General features: G+C 50.6%; 1 pseudogene; it reads left to right on the plus strand.

The window, feature by feature from the left end:
* The first annotated feature begins 8,992 nt into the window (after positions 1-8,992).
* Positions 8,993-17,737, plus strand: LOC107987396 (uncharacterized; annotated as a pseudogene).
* Positions 17,738-18,984: the final 1,247 nt, after the last annotated feature.

The raw sequence follows: 18,984 nt of genomic DNA on the forward strand, positions 1-18,984 counted from the left end.
ATACCTCACACCGCACACACACAGACACACACACACGCACACACACGCACACACTCACACACACGCACACACACTCCTTCCTTCTGCGAGTTAGAGAATTAGTAGGGGCCCCTGGGAGCTGCAGGTTTCCTAATCATGTCTGCACCTAAGAACAGTAGGGTGTTGTCTGGCTCTTCTTATGAACGGTCCCCCAGCCTGGACTCCCCAAGTTCCATGCGAGCCTCACCCAGCTTCTCCCTCTCCCCTCTCAGAAACTCAGGCTTAAGGGGAAGCTCCTCACCAGGGATCCGGAGCTACCATTCACCATCCCCTAGGGCTTCACCACACTCACCTCTGTCATCACCAGAATCCCACAAGCTCCCATTTCCCTGTCCTCACCGTGATGGGCAATCAATGAAGCCATCGGGCTCTCCTGTGTCCTCCTCTGAGGATTCCTCAGAGTCCCCAGGTTCATCAATAATATACCACATGTTCTTACTGCCATCACCCAGCAGCTCACCCCCAGCTCTCGGGGGGTCTCCTGTGTCTCCCAGCTACTCTCCAAACAACCCCAGATTTCAGCTGGAGTCAGCCCCCCACACCCAGGAATCACCTACAAACTCACGAGCCTCACGGTGCTCCACCCCTGTGTCTTTCATCTCTTCACCCCCAGGCCTCAGGGACTCTCCTGTGGCTCCCAGTTACTCTCCAGCCATCCCCAGGTTCCTGCGGGAGTCAGCCCCATGCACCCAGGAGTCCCCCAGAGACTCACAGGTCTCGGGAGAATATGAGCGGTCCCCCAGCCCTGACTCCTCAAGATTCATGCCTGCCTCACCCAGCTTCTCCCTCTCCCCTCCCAGAAACTCAGACCCAAGGGGCAGCTCCTCACCAGGGATGTGGAAGTACTCTACATCATCCCGCATGGCTTCACCACTCTCACATCCATCATCAACAGAATTCCACAGCTTTACGTTTCCCTTTCCTAACCAAGCAGGACAGTCACTCATGTCATTGTGTTCTCCCGTGTCCTCCTTTGGAGATTCTTCACAGTCACCTCATTCATCAATAATATACCATATGTTCTTACTGCCATCATCCAGCAGCTCACCCCCAGCCACCCATGACTCTCCTGTCTGTCCCAGCTACTCTCCAACCACGCCCACATTTCAGCGGGAGTCTGTACCCCACACCCCAGAAACACCTACAAACTCACAGACCTCAGGGAGATCCTGGCCAGTCTCTCTCACGTCTTCACCCCCAGCCCTTACGGACCCTCCAGTCTGTCCCAGCTACTCTCCAACCACGCCCACATTTCAGCGCGGGACAGTTCCAGGAACCCAGGCATCACCGCCAAGCCCACCACTTTCACTGAGTTACTCCCCAGTCTCTAGCACGTCTTTATCTCCAACTCTCAGGGACTCGCCTGTCTGTCCCAGCTACTCTCCAAACACGCCCACACTTCAGCGGGAGTCCGTTGCAGGCACCCAGAAATCACCACCAAACTCACCAATTTCACTGCGTTACTCCCCAGTCTCTCTCATGTCTTCACCATCCCTCAGGGACTCTCCCGTCTGTCCCAGCTACTCTCCAACCATGCCGACATTGCAGCTGGAGTCAGTTCCAGGCACCCAGGAATCACCACCAAACTCACCAATTTCACTCAGTTACTCCTCAGTCTCTAGCACGTCTTTATCTCCAACCCTCAGGGACTCTCCTGTGTGTCCCAGCTACTCTCCAACCACGCCCACACTTCAGCGGGAGTCAGTTCCAGGCACCCAGGAATCACCACCAAACTCACCAATTTCACTCAATTACTCTCCAGTCTCTCTCATGTCTTCACCAGCCCTCAGGGACTCTCCTGTCTGTCCCAGCTACTCTCCAACCATGCCCACATTTCAGCTGGAGTCAGTTCCAGGCACCCCGGAGTCACCACCAAACTCACCAGTTTCACTCAGTTACTCCCCAGTCTCTCTCATGTCTTCACCCCCAGCCCTCAGGGACTCTCCTGTGTGTCCCAGCTACTCTCCAACCATGCCCAGATTTCAGCGGGAGTCAGTTCCAGGCACCCAGGTATCACCTACAAACTCAGCAGTTTCACTGAGTTACTTCCCAGTCTCTCTCATGTCTTCACCCCCAGCCCCCTGGGACTCTCCTGTCTGTCCCAGCTACTCCCCCACCACGCCCAGATTTCAGCGGGAGTCAGCCTCCCACACTCCAGAATCACCTACGGACTCACAGACTTCACTGAGGTCCTCCCTGGTCTCTCTCAGGTCTTTGCCCTCAGCCCACAGGGACTCTTGTGTCTCTTTCAGCTACTCTCAAAACTTCTCTAGATTCCAGCTGGAGTCAGTTCCAGGCACCCACGATACACCACCGAACTCACGAATTTCACTGACTGACTCCCCAGTCTCCCTCATGTTCTCACCCCCAGCCCTCAGGGACTCTTCTGTCTCTCTCAGCTACTCTCCAACCATCTCCAGATTTCACGTGGAGTCAGCTTCCCGCACCCAGGAATCACCTACAAACTCACGGACCTTACTGCCACCCTCCACCATTTCCTTCACCTCTTCACCCCCTGCCTTCAGGGACTCTCCTGGGTCTCCCAGCTTCTCTCCAGCCTTCCCCAGATTTCTGCCACAGTCAGCCCCAGGCACCCAGGACAACCCTAGACACTCACAGGCCACACGAGACTATCTCCCTATGACCTGTACCTATACAGGGATGGCTCCCACGCATCCCTCAGTGACCCCAAACCCATCTCCACTTACACTCAGACACTCCCAGGGCCTGACAGCTACTCCCCGTTATTGTCCTTCAGTTCGAAGCCCTGGCCAGTCTACTAGCCCACATGACGCAGTTACCTGGCCATCACTCCACGGTTCCCGTGAGGGCCCCACACCCAGCCGCACAAGAGCCCCTCCTGCATTCCGTCCTCACACGCAGGCCTGTCCATCTACTTGCTACTGTCACACTCTTGCCAGCAGAAAAGGCCCCTATCATGGCCGATATCACCACCCAGTCTATCCTCACCCCGCAGCTGTGCAGCGGGACCCTCCTGCTGGCCCACGTGGCTGTCAGAGCCCATGCTGGCACGACGCTCCAGCAGGTCGGCGTCCCTGCGGGACACACTACCGGTGACATGGCTAGCATCACCCTCCTTCCTGGCAGTGACACTGTTGATGTGAACCCCAGTTTCACATCTGTCATTTGTAAATAGGACCATTTTCCCTTTTCGCTCTCCCTTCCATTCACAGGGCTTTTCATTCTCTCTGTGTCTGCCTCCGTTTCAGATATTTACTCACCTTTTTCTCTCTCACTATGTCTGCCGTGGTCTCCATGAGAGTGCGCCACATAAGATTCCCCCATTAAAAGTCATGAATTGAGTGGCTTTTAGTATACCTGTGGTTGTGCACATTCAATTTTAATTCACAATCCATTGTAGAACGTCTTATCACCCCCGACCAGAGAAAAACCCTGTAGACATTAGTCACTCCTCATTCTGTCTCAAACCCTCTCCCTGACCCTCAGCCCTAGGTAGCAACTACCTAGTGCGATCAACCCCATATGCATAGATTTCCATATTGTGGACATTTCCTATAAACGGAATTGCACAATAGGTGAGCTGTTATGACTGACATAACACGTAGCACAATATTTTCAAGATTGATCCACATTGTAGGCTTACCCACAGGGGGAAACCATATTTTTGGGGGGTTTTAGTAACACCGGGTGTTTTCTCCTTCCGTTCGTCCTTCTTTCCTTCCTTCCTTCCTTCCTTCTTTCCTTCCTTCCTTCCTTCCTACCTTCCTTCTTTCCTTCCTTCCTTCCTTCCTCCTATTTCTCTCTTACTCCTTCTGCCCTCTCTCTTTCATATGCCTTAGGTGCATCCCACATTCTGCGTTTTTTGGGGGAAATCCTCGACAGGTGCAGGAAAATTGTGTTATTGTAACTATTTACCGCTATCTCTCTTTCACGGCTCTCCATCAGTTGTGAACATCTATTGGTTTATCGCAAGTCACTAAGCATATTTTTATTAGGTACACCTGTTTTTCCTTATACAGCTGTTTCTGGGGTATAGGGTCGCATACTCATAAACCGGTGTAACTCAGAAACGCATCTAATATTCCAATAAACCCATCATAACGTTGAAAAATCATGAATCAAACCATCATAAGTCACGGTTTGTCCGTGGATATGGGTGTCATCAATTCCATTGTATACAGTAATGCTGTACACCATTAACAATGGCAGACTGATTGGGAGCGGACATTGATAGCATTATAAAAGTCAATTATTAGAGGGATACTTCTTTAACCTGACTGAAGCACTGATCTAATGGCTTTAGTACACTGCATGATTATGTGAGATGTTTTGAGAAAAATTAGTACATTTGTGAATGAAATTTTATGGCTTTTTTTCACTTAGTAGGAACCATTGTGTGTGGAAAAGTGAGAAAATTGCTTTCTGCTGTAGAGTCTGGCATTCATTGTAGATTTAAGTTTATTTTTCTGTGAGCAAATCTTATTCAATAAAATGCTACTCTTTATACTACAAAACAAAAACAGTGGTGATGTGTGGTCATTATCCTCAGCAAACTAATCCAGGGAAAGAAACCCAAACGCCACATTCTCACTTATAATGGGAGCTGAAGAATGAGATCACATGGACACAGGAAGGGGAACAACACACACTGGGGCCTTTCGGGAGGTGGAGCGTTAAGGAAAACAGCTACTGCATGCTGGGCATAATACCTAGGTGATGGGTTGACAGGTGCAGCAAACCACCATGGCAAACGTTTACCTTAGTAACAAATCTGCCCATCCTGCACATATACCCCAGAACTTAGAAACGAAACGAAACAAAAGAAAACGAAAAAGCAATAGCAAAACGCTAAAGGGAAAATAAAGTTTCAAACTCAGAAAGTGACAGACCAATGTTTGGTTCAAATCATGGTTCTCAACCCAGGTGCCATAAGGTCAGGATAAAGAATTTGATTACATATTGTAAATAAGACATGCAGCAAATGACCAGAAAGATTATTCTCAACATATGTGTGTCTTCTAATTCAATGGCGACGCTATCTACCGGGACATAGCATTAGATTCCAAAGGGCCGAGTCCCGCCAGGCAGGCCTCCCACACTAATAACAACGGGAAGGCCTACGTTGTTTTACCTGTGCTTCTCAGCAACTGGCTATAAATCAGGTTGCCACCACTCCCAGATTTAGTTGCATTCATTTGCTGGAAGAGCTCACAGCACTCAGGGAAACACTTACATTTGCCGTTGTATTTTAGCGGACATTGCAAAAAGTTCAGAAATAAATGTGGGGCCCGGCATGTGGGGAGGGGCGCAGTACCTTCCAGGAAGTGTTATCCAGAAGCTCTCTGAACCCATTCCTTTTGGGTTTTTATGGAGACCTCATTCTATAGGCATGATGGGTTAAACCATAGGCTATTGGTGATCAACTCCACCTGAGGCTCTCAACCCTCCCTGGAAATTGGGGTTGAGGTTTTGCCATTCTCAGTCTGACTAAAAGAATTTACCCAAACGGAATTTTAAAACAGATGAGCACAACTGGAATCTTAATTAGATGATTGGATTATCTGGAGCCACACCTTGATATTCCGAACCCGAGCACCCTCATCCAACGAATGCTCCACCCAACTGGCTGCCAAGTCTCCACGTGGTTCCAGAGCAAAAGAATGTTTATACAACGCATATCTCCACCTTTTCTTCAAAGTCTTTTTGCTTACACGGAAAGACTTCTTAAACTGCCATGCATCAGGGTCAGGGGGAGGTCTTGTTACAACACAGATCTGTGGATCTCCGGGGTTTGATTGTGGCAAGGATGCTGCTGGCGTCAAAACCACAACGTGGGAACCACAGAACCACTAGTTGGTTTTCAGTGTTTCAGTGCATACAATTCCTAATATATCTGGCCAAGAAAACTTGGAAGTTCTTAGATTGTCCCAAAGTTGGCGCATGAAATCAAAGTAGGAGAACAGTTTCCTACGAGGTGTAGCCTGGGAAAGTTGGGGGTGACTGACGGAAAGGAGGAGTGAAGCTCCGCCCTTTCCGCTGCTAGGTTGCGCCCGAGGCTATTTAAACCCACCCTGGCTGGCCTGCACTCAGATCTTGGCGGAGCGGGTCAGCGGCCGGAGCCTTTGGCGGACTCTGCGTGGACTTGGAGCTCACGGCGTCTTGCGACTTGGAGGCGGATTCAGAGGACAGGACAGAACACTTGGGCAAGTGAATCTCTGTCTGTCTGTCTGTCTGTCTGTCTGTCTGTGTGTCTGTCTCATTGGTTGGTTGATTTCCATTTTCTTAAGGGGCACATACCTCACACCGCACACACACAGACACACACACACACACACACGCACACACTCACACACACGCACACACACTCCTTCCTTCTGCGAGTTGGAAAATTAGTAGGGGCCCCTGGGAGCTGCAGGTTTCCTAATCATGTCTGAACCTAAGAACAGTAGGGTCTTGTCTGGCTCTTCTTATGAACGGTCCCCCAGCCCGGACTCCCCAAGGTCCATGCGAGCCTCACCCAGCTTCTCCCTCTCCCCTCTCAGAAACTCAGTCTTAAGGGGAAGCTCCTCACCAGAGATCCGGAGCTACCATTCACCATCCCCTAGGGCTTCACCACACTCACCTCTGTCATCACCAGAATCCCACAAGCTCCCATTTCCCTGTCCTCACCGTGATGGGCAATCAATGAAGCCATCGGGCTCTCCTGTGTCCTCCTCTGAGGTTTCCTCAGAGTCCCCACGTTCATCAATAGTATACCACATGTTCTTACTGCCATCACCCAGCAGCTCACCCCCAGCTCTCGGGGGGTCTCCTGTGTCTCCCAGCTACTCTCCAAACAACCCCAGATTTCAGCTGGAGTCAGCCCCCCACACCCAGGAATCACCTACAAACTCACGAGCCTCACGGTGCTCCACCCCTGTGTCTTTCATCTCTTCACCCCCAGGCCTCAGGGACTCTCCTGTGGCTCCCAGTTACTCTCCAGCCATCCCCAGGTTCCTGCGGGAGTCAGCCCCATGCACCCAGGAGTCCCCCAGAGACTCACAGGTCTCGGGAGAATATGAGCGGTCCCCCAGCCCTGACTCCTCAAGATTCATGCCTGCCTCACCCAGCTTCTCCCTCTCCCCTCCCAGAAACTCAGACCCAAGGGGCAGCTCCTCACCAGGGATGTGGAAGTACTCTACATCATCCCGCATGGCTTCACCACTCTCACATCCATCATCAACAGAATTCCACAGCTTTATGTCTCCCTTTCCTAACCAAGCAGGACAGTCACTCATGTCATTGTCTTCTCCCTTGCCCTCCTCTGGAGATTCATCACAGTCACGTCATTCATCAATAATATACCATATGTTCTTACTGCCATCATCCAGCAGCTCACCCCCAGCCACCCATGACTCTCCTGTCTGTCCCAGCTCCTCTCCAACCACGCCCAGGTTTCAGCGGGAGTCTGTACCCCACCTCCCAGAAACACCTACAAACTCACAGACCTCAGGGAGATCCTGGCCAGTCTCTCTCACGTCTTCACCCCCAGCCCTTACGGACCCTCCAGTCTGTCCCAGCTACTCTCCAAACACGCCCACACTTCAGCTGGAGTCCGTTGCAGGCACCCAGAAATCACCACCAAACTCACCAATTTCACTGCGTTACTCCCCAGTCTCCCTCATGTCTTCACCATCCCTCAGGGACTCTCCCGTCTGTCCCAGCTACTCTCCAACCACGCCCACATTACAGCTGGGGTTGGTTCCAGGCACCCCGGAATCACCACCAAACTCACCAATTTCACTCAGTTACTCCTCAGTCTCTAGCAGGTCTTTATCTCCAACCCTCAGGGACTCTCCTGTGTGTCCCAGCTACTCTCCAACCACGCCCACACTTCAGCGGGAGTCAGTTCCAGGCACCCAGGAATCACCACCAAACTCACCAATTTCACTCAATTACTCTCCAGTCTCTGTCATGTCTTCACCAGCCCTCGGGGACTCTCCTGTCTGTCCCAGCTACTCTCCAGCCATGCCCACATTTCAGCTGGAGTCAGTTCCAGGCACCCCGGAGTCACCACCAAACTCATCAGTTTCACGCAGTTACTCCCCGGTCTCTCTCATGTCTTCACCCCCAGCCCTCAGGGACTCTCCTGTGGGTCCCAGCTATTCTCCAACCATGCCCAGATTTCAGCGGGAGTCAGTTCCAGGCACCCAGGTATCACCTACAAACTCAGCAGTTTCACTGAGTTACTTCCCAGTCTCTCTCATGTCTTCACCCCCAGCCCCCTGGGACTCTCCTGTCTGTCCCAGCTACTCTCCCACCACGCCCAGATTTCAGCGGGAGTCAGCCTCCCACACTCCAGAATCACCTACGGACTCACAGACTTCACTGAGGTCCTCCCTGGTCTCTCTCAGGTCTTTGCCCTCAGCCCACAGGGACTCTCGTGTCTCTTTCAGCTACTCTCAAAACTTCTCTAGATTCCAGCTGGAGTCAGTTCCAGGCACCCACGATACACCACCGAACTCACGAATTTCACTGACTTACTCCCCAGTCTCCCTCATGTTCTCATCCCCAGCCCTCAGGGACTCTTCTGTCTCTCTCAGCTACTCTCCAACCATCTCCAGATTTCACGTGGAGTCAGCTTCCCGCACCCAGGAATCACATACAAACTCACGGACCTTACTGCAACCCTCCACCATTTCTTTCACCTCTTCACCCCCTGCCTTCAGGGACTCTCCTGGGTCTCCCAACTTCTCTCCAGCCTTCCCCAGATTTCTGCCACAGTCAGCCCCAGGCACCCAGGACAACCCTAGACACTCACAGGCCCCACGAGACTATCTCCCTATGACCTGTACCTATACAGGGATGGCTCCCACGCATCCCTCAGTGACCCCAAACCCATCTCCACTTACACTCAGACACTCCCAGGGCCTGACAGCTACTCCCCGTTATTGTCCTTCAGTTCGAATCCCTGGCCAATCTACTAGCCCACATGACGCAGTTACCTGGCCATTACTCCATGGTTCCCGTGAGGGCCCCACACGCAGCCGCACAAGAGCCCCTCCTGCATTCCGTCCTCACACGCAGGCCTGTCCATCTACTTGCTACTGTCACACTCTTGCCAGCAAAAGAGGCCCCTGTCATGGCCGATATCACCACCCAGTCTATCCTCACCCCGCAGCTGTGCAGCGGGACTCTCCTGCTGGCCCACGTGGCTGCCAGAGCCCATGCTGGCACGACGCTCGAGCAGGTCGGCATCCCTGCGGGACACACTACCGGTGACATGGCTAGCATCACCCTCCTTCCTGGCAGTGACACTGTTGATGTGAACCCCAGTTTCACATCTGTCATTTGTAAATAGGACCATTTTCCCTTTTCGCTCTCCCTTCCATTCACAGGGCTTTTCATTCTCTCTGTTTCTGCCTCCGTTTCAGATATTTACTCACCTTTTTCTCTCTCACTATGTCTGCCGTGGTCTCCATGAGAGTGCGCCACATAAGATTCCCCCATTAAAAGTCATGAATTGAGTGGCTTTTAGTATACCTGTGGTTGTGCACATTCAATTTTAATTCGCAATCCACTGTAGAACGTCTTATCACCCCCGACCAGAGAAAAACCCTGTAGACATTAGTCACTCTTCATTCTTTTTCAAACCCTCAGGGCCTGATGGGAAGGCACTTTCGTTTGTGGGGGACCCATGCCCTGCTTCTCCTTTGCGCGTTTTTTTTTTTTTTTGCTACGATAGATGCCTTTCCTCTCCTTCCTCAAATCTTACCTTCCTCTCATGTGGCTTCTGTCTGCCTTGGGGTACACCTAGCGGCCCGAGGTGCACTGTGGGATCGAACCAGGGACTCCAGGGTCCCTGAGGCCCAGCACAAGTCCTGATGGGAAGACACTTTCGTCCGTTTGGAGGACCCAGTCCCCGCTTCTCCGCGGCTGTGTTTTTTTTTTCTCTGCCCCAGGTGCCTCACCTTCCCCTCTTGTGCCTTCTGCAAGCTTTGGGTTACTCCTAGCGGCCCAAGGCACACCCTGGGCTCGAACCATGGAAGCCAGGTTCCACAGGGTCAAGCGCAGTGGCTGATGATAAGACACGTTCTTCCTCAGGGACCCAGGCTCTGCTTCTCTGTGGCGTTTTTTTTTCTTTTCTTTTCCACATGTGCCTCACTTTCCCGTCATGGGCTTTCTGCCCGCCTTGAGGTACCCCTAGCCGGCCCGAGGCGCACCCTTGTTTTGAGCCAGGGATGCTAGGGTCTCCGGGGCCCAGTGTAGGGCTTATGGGTAGGGACGTTCGTCCATGGGGAACCCAGGCCCCACTTCTGGTGGGCGCAGTTTTTTATTTTGTTCTCTGCCCCAGGTGTCTCACCTTTCCCTCATGGGCCTTCTGTCTGTCTTGGGGTACCCCTAGCGGCCTGAATCGCACCCTGGTCTCGTACCAGGAATGCCAGGGTCCCCTGTGCCCAGCGCAAGGGCTGATGGGAAGACACTTTCGTCCGTTGGGGATCCAGGCTCCGCTTCTCCGTGGTGCAGTTTTTTTTTTTCTGCCACAGGTGCCTCACCTCTCCTTCCTCAAACCTCAACTGCCCCTCATGGGATTTCTGCCCCCCTTGTGGTACCCCTAGCAGGCCCGGGGCGCACCCGGGGCTCGAACTGGGGTCTCCAGCGTCCACAGGGCCCAGCGCAGGGACTGATGGGAAGGCATTTTCATCCTTGGGGTACCCAGGCCCAGTTTCTCCTAGGCGCGGCTTGTTTTCTTTTTTTTTTTTCTGCCACAGGTTCCTCACCTCTCCTCCCTCAAACGTCAACTTCCCATCATGGGCTTTCTGCTCTACTTGGGGTACCCCTTCCGGCCCAAGGCTCTCCCTGGACTCGAACCATGGATGCCAGGGTCGCCGGGGCCTAGCGCAGGGGCTGATGGGAATGTACCTTCATCCGTGGGTACCCAGGCCCCGCTTCTCAAAGCTGCGGTTTTTTTTCTCCGCCCCTGGTGCCTCACCTTCCCCTCACTGGCCTTCTGCCTGCTTTGGGGTACCACGAGCAGGCCCGAGGCGCTCCCGGGTCTCCAATCAGGGTCGCCAGGTTCTCGGGGCTAGCGCAGGGGCTGATGGGAAGGCACTTTCATCAGTGGGGACCCAGTCCCGGCTTCTCCGAGGTGCTGATATATATATATATATATTTTTTTTTTTTTTTTTTCTGCCACAGGTGACTCACCTCTCCTCCCTTAAATCTCGCCTTCCCCTCATGGGCTTTCTGGCTTCCTTAGGGTACCCTAGCATGCCAGAGTCTCTTCTGGTCCTTGAACTAGGGTCGCCAGAGTCCAGGGGGCCCAGCGCAGGGGCTGATGAGAAGGCACTTTCGTCCGTGGGAGACCCAGGCCCCGCTTCTCTTCCGCACGGTTTTTTTTTTTCTGCCGCAGGTGCCTCACCTCTCTTCCGTCAAACGTCACCTTCCCCTCATGGGCCTTCAGCCCGTTTTGGGGTACACCTAGCGGGCCCGAGGTGCACCCAGGCCTAGAACCAGGGTCGCCTGGTCCACGTGGCCCAGCTCAGGGACTGATGGGAAGGCACATTTTTTCCATGGGAGACCCAGGCCCCACTTTTCCGTGGCGCGGTTTCTTTTTCTTTTCTGCCACAAGTGCCTCACCTCTCCTCCCTCACAGCTCACCTTCCTCTCATGGGCTTTCCACCGTGTTGGGGTATCCCTAGTGGCCCGAGACTCTCCCTGAGCTCCAACCAGGGACTCTAGGTTCCCCGTGGCCCAGCGCAGGGGCTGATGGGAAGGCACTTTCATCCGTGGGGTACCCAGGCCCCACCTCTCCGCGGTGCGGGTTTCTTTTTTTTCTTTTTCTGTGACAGGTGCCTCACCTGTCCTCCCTCAAAACTCACCTTCCCCTCACGGGTTTTGTGTCCCCAAAGCCCCCTTGGTGTGCACTTAGCGGCCGAGGCACACCCTGAGCTCGAACGAGGGACAACAGGGTCCCTGGGTCCCAGTGCAGGGACTGATGGGAAGACACTTTCGTCTGTGGGGCACCCAGGCCGTGTTTCTCCGTGGTGAAGTTTTTTTTTTCTCTGCCCTAGGTGCCTCACCTTCCCCTTAGGGGCTTTCTGCCCACCTTGGGGTACCCTTACTGTCCCGAGGCGTACCCCAGGGTCACACCAGGGATGCCAGGGTCCCCAGGGCCCAGCGAAGGGGCTGATGGGATGGCACTTTCATCCGTGGGGGACCCAGGCACTGCTTCTCGGCTGAGCATTTTTTTTTTCTCTGCCTCAGGTGCCTCACCTTCCCCTCATGGACCTTTTCTTTGCTTTGTGGTACCCCAAGCTGTCCCGAGGCGCACCCTGGGCTCGAACCAGGGTCGCCAGGGTCCACCAGGCCCAGCATAGGGCCTGATGGGAAGGCACTTTCATCCGTGGGGGACCCAGGCCCCGCTTCTCTGAGACGCGGTCCTCTTTTTTTATTTTTTCTGCCCCTGCTGCCTCACCTCTCCTCCCACAAACTTCAACTTCCACTCATGGGCCTTCTGTCCAAGTTGTGGTACCCCTAGTCGCCTGAGGCACACCCCGGGCGTGAACCAGGGATCCCAGGGTCCCTGGGGCCCAGCGCAAGGTCTGATGGGAAAAAACTTTCGTCCCTGGATGACCCAGACACTGCTTCGCGGCGCATTTTTTTTTTCTTCTTTGCCCCAGGTGTCTCACCTTCCCCTCATGGGCCTTCTGCCTCTCTGCGCCTGCGCCGGCGCTGTGGGCCTCTCTGCGCCTGCCCCGGCGCTGTGGGCCTCTCTGCGCCTTTTGCCGGCGCTGAGCGCCTTTGCGAGGGCGGAGCTGCGTTCTTCCCAGCACAGCCAAGGAGAGCATCGCCAGGGCAGAGCTGAGTTCTCCTCTGCACAGACTTCAGAGATACAGCGAAGGCGGAGCAGTGTTCTCCTCAGCACAGACCCAGGCGGGCCGGGGGCACCGCGAGGGCGGAGCTGCGTTCTGCTCAGCACAGACCCGGGGGACACCGCTAAGGCAGAGCAGCGTTCTCCTCAGCACAGACCTTTGGGGCACTGCCTCGCTTTGGGACAACTTGGGACCGCATAGACGGTGAATAAAATCCTTCCCTTTTGCAGCCCTGAATAATCAGGGCCAGAGACCAGTTAGAAGGGCTCAGTGTGGAAAAGGGAAACCAAAAGCCCCTCTGAATCCTGCCAACCGAGGTTCTCCCCAGCCAAGCCGAGGCGGCCACAGTGCGAGATCCACACCGCAGCCTCGGAAGACAAATGCAGCATTCCTAATGCAGACATGACACCCAAATTATGACACTCCCATTGCTCATGTAACAAGCACCTGTAATGCTAATGCACTGCCTCAATACAAAAATATTGATATAAGATCCGCAATCCCCTTGCTGCCATGCAGTCCTAAGACAGAGATCATAATAATCAACATTGACATAGTACAAACGTAGTAACGAACCTAGGGTTAAGGTTGGTGTTAGGGTTAGGGGTTAAGTTTAGGGTTAGGGGTTGGAGATAGGGGTTGGGGTCAGAGTTAAGAGTTAAGAGTCAATGTTTAGAGTTAGAGGTTAAGAGAGGTTAGGGGTTAGGGATAAGGGGTTAGGGTTGGATTAGTGTGAGGGTGAGGGTTGTGGTTAGGGGTTAGGCTTAGGGGTTACGGTTAAGGGTTAGGGTTAGGGTCAGGGGTTAGGGGTCAGGGTCAGGGGTTAGAGATCAGGGTCAGGGGTCAGGGTCAGGTTCAGGGGTCCCACTCTTTGAGTTGTCCATTTACTCTGCTGACTGTTCCTTTTGCCATGCAAAAGCTGTTTAGTTTAATTAAGTCCCAGCTATTTATCTTTGTTTTTATTTCATTTGAATTTGGGTTCTTGGTCATGAAATCCTTGCGTACGTCAATGTCTAGAAGGGTTTATCCAGTGTTATCTTCTAGAATTTTTATAGTTCAGGAATTAGATTTAAGTTCTTAATCCATCTTGAGTAGATTTTTGTATAAGATGAGAGATGAGAATCCAGTTTTATTCCCCTACATGTGGCTCGCCAATTATCCCAACATCATGTGTTGAAAAGGGGGTCCTTTCCCCACTTTATGTTTTTGTTTACTTTGTCGAAGATCAGTTGGCTGTAAGTATTTGGGTTAATTTCTGGGTTCTCTCTTCTGTTCCATTGGTCTATGTTCCTATTTTTAAACCAGTACGTTGGTGTTTTGGTAACTATGGCCTTATTGTACAGTTTGAAATCAAGTAGTGTGATACCTCCAGGTTCTTTTTGCTTAGGCTTAGTTTGGTTACATGGCTCTCTTTTGGTTCCATATTAATTTTAGAATTGTTTTTGTAATTCTGTGAAGAATGATGGTGGCATTCAGATGGGGATTGCATTGAATTTGTAGATTGCCTTTAACAGAATGGTAATTTTCACAATATTGGTTCTACCCATCCATGAGCATGGGGATGCATTTCCATTTGTTTGTGTCATCTATGACTTCTTTTCTTTCTTGTTTTTTTTTTTTTTTTTTTTTTTTTTTTTTTTTTCAGAGGGAGTTTCGCTCTTGTCGCTGAGGTGGGAGTGCAATGGTGTGATCTCGGCTCACTACAACTTCTGCCTCCCGGGTTCAAGCGATTCTCCTGCCTCAGCTTCCCGAGTAGCTCAGATTATAGGCATGTGCCACCGTGCTTGGCTCCATCTATGATTTCTTTCAGTAGCGTTTTGTAATTTTCATTGTAGCGGTCCTTTGATTCGTTTGCTAGGTATATTCCTAAGTTTTGTTTTTTTGTTGTTGTTGTTTGTCGCAGCTATTGTAAAAGGGGTTGAGTTCTTGATGTGATTCTCTGCTTGGTAGCTGTTGATGTATGGAAGAGCTACTGATTTGTGTCCATTAATCTTGTATCTGGAAACTTTGCTGAATTCTTTTATCAGTTCTAGGAGGTTTCTAGAGGAGTCCGTAGGGTTTTCTAGGCAAAAGATTATATCATCAGCAACAAGTGACAGTTTGACTTCCTCTTTACCGATTTGGATTTCCTCTATTTCCTTCTTTTGTCTGATTGCTCTGGCTAGGATTTCCAGTACTATGTTGAAGAGGAGTGGTGAGAGTAGGCTCCTCGTCTTGTTCCAGTTCTCAAAGGGAATGCTTTCACCGTTTCCCCATTCAGTAGTATGTTGGCTGTGGGTTTGTCATAGATGGCTTTTATTACATTAAGGTATGTCCCTTGTATGCCTATTTTGCTGAGAGCTTTAATCATAAAGCAATGCTAGATTTTGTCAAATGTTTGTTCTGCACCTGTTGATATAATCATATTAGATTTTTTTTAATTCTGTTTATTTGGTGTATCACACTTATTGACTTGCATATGTGAAACCACTCCTATATCATTGGTATAAAACCCACTTGATCATGGTGGATTATTTTTTGATATGTTGTCGGATTCAGTTAGATAGTATTTTGTTAAGGATTTTGGCATCTGCGTTCATCAAGGATATTGGTCTGTAGTTTTCTTTTTTGGTTATGTCCTTCCATGGTTTTGGTATTAGGGTGATGCTGGCTTCATAGAATGAATAAGGGAGGGTTTCTTCTTTCTCTGTCTTGTGGAATAGTATGAAAAGATTGGTATCATTTCTTCCTTGAATGAAAGAAGACATTCTTTGAATGTCTGGTAGAACTCTGCTGTGAATCTGTCTGGCCCTCAGATTTTTTTGCTGGTAATTTTAAAATTACCATTTCAATCTTGCTGCTTGCTTTATTGGTCTGCTTGGGGTATCTAATTCTTCCTGATTTAAGCTAGGAGAGTTGTATTTTTCCAGGAATTTATCCAACTCTTCTAGGTTTTGTAGTTTATGTGCCAAAAGGTGTTCATAGTACCCTTGAATAATCTTTAATATTTCAGTGGTGTCAGTTGTAATATCCCCTGTTTCATTTCTTAGTGAGGTTATTTGGATTTTCTCTCTTCTTTTCTTGGTTAATCTTGCTAATGGTCTATCAATTTTATTTATCTTTTCAAATAACCAACTTTTTCTTTTATTTATGTTTTGTATTTGTTGTTGTTGTTGTTGTTGTTGTGTCAATTTCATTTAGTTCTGCTCTGATCTTTGTTATTTCCTGTGTTTGCTGGGATTGGGTTTGGCTTGTTCCTGCTTCTCTAGTTCCCTGAGATGTGAACTTAGATTGTCTGTTTGTGCTCTTTCAGACTTTTTGATGTAGGTTTTTAGGACTACAAACTTTGCTCTTAGCAGTGCCTTTGCTGTATCCCAGAGGTCTTGATAGGTTGTGTCATCCAGTTCGAATAAATTTTTTACATTTCCATCTTGATTTCATTTTTCACCCAATGCTCATTCTGTGAGGAACAACCAAATTGTTTTCCGTAGCAAGGGCATCATTTTCTATTCCTAGCAGCCAAATCATGAGGGCTCCAACTTCTCCACCTCCTTAGCAACATTTATTTTCTGTGTCATTGTTATGAAAGCCTTACTTGTGGGTGTAGAGTGGCATGAATGTAGTCAATTAACACGTTTATTACCTCACAGAATCGTCACCTTTTTGTGTGCATGGGTGGGATAAGAAAACTTAACTCTATCCCCTGTGACGGAATAGTGGCCATTCCAGCTGCTCCAGGCTCCAGCAGAGGAAGACTGGGGTATGTGGCCCCACCAGGGTGACCCTCAGGCCTGGCGCGCATGCATTCCAGAGGCCATCCAAACCATGCTCCGCCATCTGGGCGCCCAAGCTGCCGTCGCCCTCTGTGTGCAGGCAGCAGCTGCCTGGCAACCCCCGAGCCCGCTCGTGCTCCTAGCATCACAGAAGCAGGGCCACGTGTCCCAGTGGCTGCAGCCAAGCCAGGCATTCTGCTCTGCGGCAGCAGCTGCACAGGAGCGAGAACTGAGAACCCACTGCTCAACCCCACACGAGGTGACTGCCGAGTGCCCATACAAACGGCTCCGATCTCCCTCAGGTGGAGGAGTGGTTGGGAGGCACGGCCTGGGGGCCCTCAGGCTGGGCGCGCTGGCGATCCCAAGGCCGACCAGGCCATGCACTTCCAGCCCGCCTGGGCACCCGAGCTGCAGCCGCCTTCTGCGTGCAGGCAGCAGCCTCCAGGCAACTCCCGAGCTCGCCCACACTCCCCACATCTCGGAAGCAGGGCCAAATGTCCCTGTGGCTGTAGCCAAGCCAGGCGGTCTGTCCTGCAGCAGCTGCACAGGGGCGGGAACCAGCCCTCAGCCCCATCCCCGGTGGCTGCAGAGGGCCCCTGGATAGAGATCTGGAGCTCTGACAGAGGAGGAGCCGGGCCGGGGCAGGGTCTGGCAGGCTCTCAGGCCAGGGGCACCCGCGATCCAGAGGCGGCCCAGGGCATGCTCCACCACCTGGGCACCCAGCTACAGGCGCCGGGCGACTCCCAAGCTGGCTGGCGCGCCCAGCCTCGCAGAACTGGGGCTAGATGTCGCCGTGGCTGCGACCAAGCCAGGCGGTCTGCCCAGGGGCGGCTGCACCGGGGCAGGAACCGACCCTCAGCCCCATCCCCGGTGGCTGCAGACGGCCCCTGGGGCGGCCCAGATCTCTCTTCGGAGGAGGAGAGGGGCAGGAGTCACGGCCAGGCGGGCCCTCAGGCGGGAAGGAATGCGCGCCTGCGATTCCGGGACCTCCCGCGCCAGCCCAGGAGAACCCGCAAGCCAGCGGCGCCTGTTTCTCTGTGTGATTCTTTGAGGAACCACCAAACTGTTTTCCACAGCAAGTGCATCATTTTCTATTCCTAGCAGCCAGTTCATGAGGGCTCCAGTTTCTCCACCTCCTTCGCAACATTGATTTTCTGTGTCGTTGTTATGAAAGCCTTACTAGTGGATGCAAAGTGGCTTCTCATTTGGGTTTTGCCTTGCATTTTATTAATGAATAATGGTGTTTAGCATCTTTTCTTTTCCTTCTTAGACATTTGTGTATCTTCTTTGGAGAAATGTCTGTTCAAGTCCTTTGCCTATTTTTTTAATTGGGATCTTAGAAATTCTGTTGTTGAGTTGTGGGATATTAAGCTTTTATCAGATACACATTTTGATTTTATCAGATACATATTTTCTCACATATTATGGGTTGTCTTTTCACTCCCTTGATAGTATCCTTTGATGCATAAAGGGTTTTTTTATTTTGATTAAATCTAATTTTCGTGTATTTTCTTTTGTTATCTGTGCTTTTCTGTCATATTTCAGAATACACTTAAAACTCAAAGGTCATAAAGGTTTACCGTGTGTTTTCTTCTAAGAGTTACATATTTTTAGTCCTTACATTTAAGTCTTTTATTAATTTAGAATTAATTTTTGTATATACTGCAAGGTAGGGGTCTAACTTCTCTCTTGTGCACTGACATCCAGCTGTTGAAGAGACTGTTCTTTCCTCCCTTGACTAGACTTGGCCACCTTGTTGAACAGTCATTGACCATATATGTGAGGACTAACTTGTAGGATCTCAAATCTGTTCTATTGTATTTGTCTGAAAGTCTATTGGTCTTATTCCAGTACCACACTCTCTTGATTACTGTAGATTTGTAGTAGGCTGTGAAACTGAAAAATGTGAGTTTTCCAATGTTCTTTTTCAAGACTGTTTTGTCTGTCAGATCCTTTGAATTTTTGTATGATTTTAGAATGAGTTTCTTTGTTTCTGCAAAAATGCCTTTGGGATTTTGATGGTATTGCATTGAATCTGTAGATTACTTTAGATGGTATTGTCATCTTAACAATATTGTCTTACAACCCGTGAACACAGAATGTCTTTCCGCTTATTTCCACTCTCTTTAGTTTTTTGCAGCAATGTTTTGTGTATACCACCATGGTTAGATTTATGCCTGAATAATGTATTCTTTGATGTCATTATAAATGGAATTTTTAAAATGTTTTCATAGTTCTTTACAACTATATAGAAATATAGCTCATTTGCCTATGTTTGTTTGCATCCTGCCTCTTTTATTAGTTATAATCGGTTTTGTGTTTTGTTTGGAGCTTTATACCTATAAGATCATGTGTAG

Source organism: Homo sapiens, unplaced genomic scaffold (genome assembly GCF_000001405.40).
Source record: "Homo sapiens unplaced genomic scaffold, GRCh38.p14 Primary Assembly HSCHRUN_RANDOM_CTG20".
NCBI lineage: Eukaryota > Metazoa > Chordata > Mammalia > Primates > Hominidae > Homo > Homo sapiens.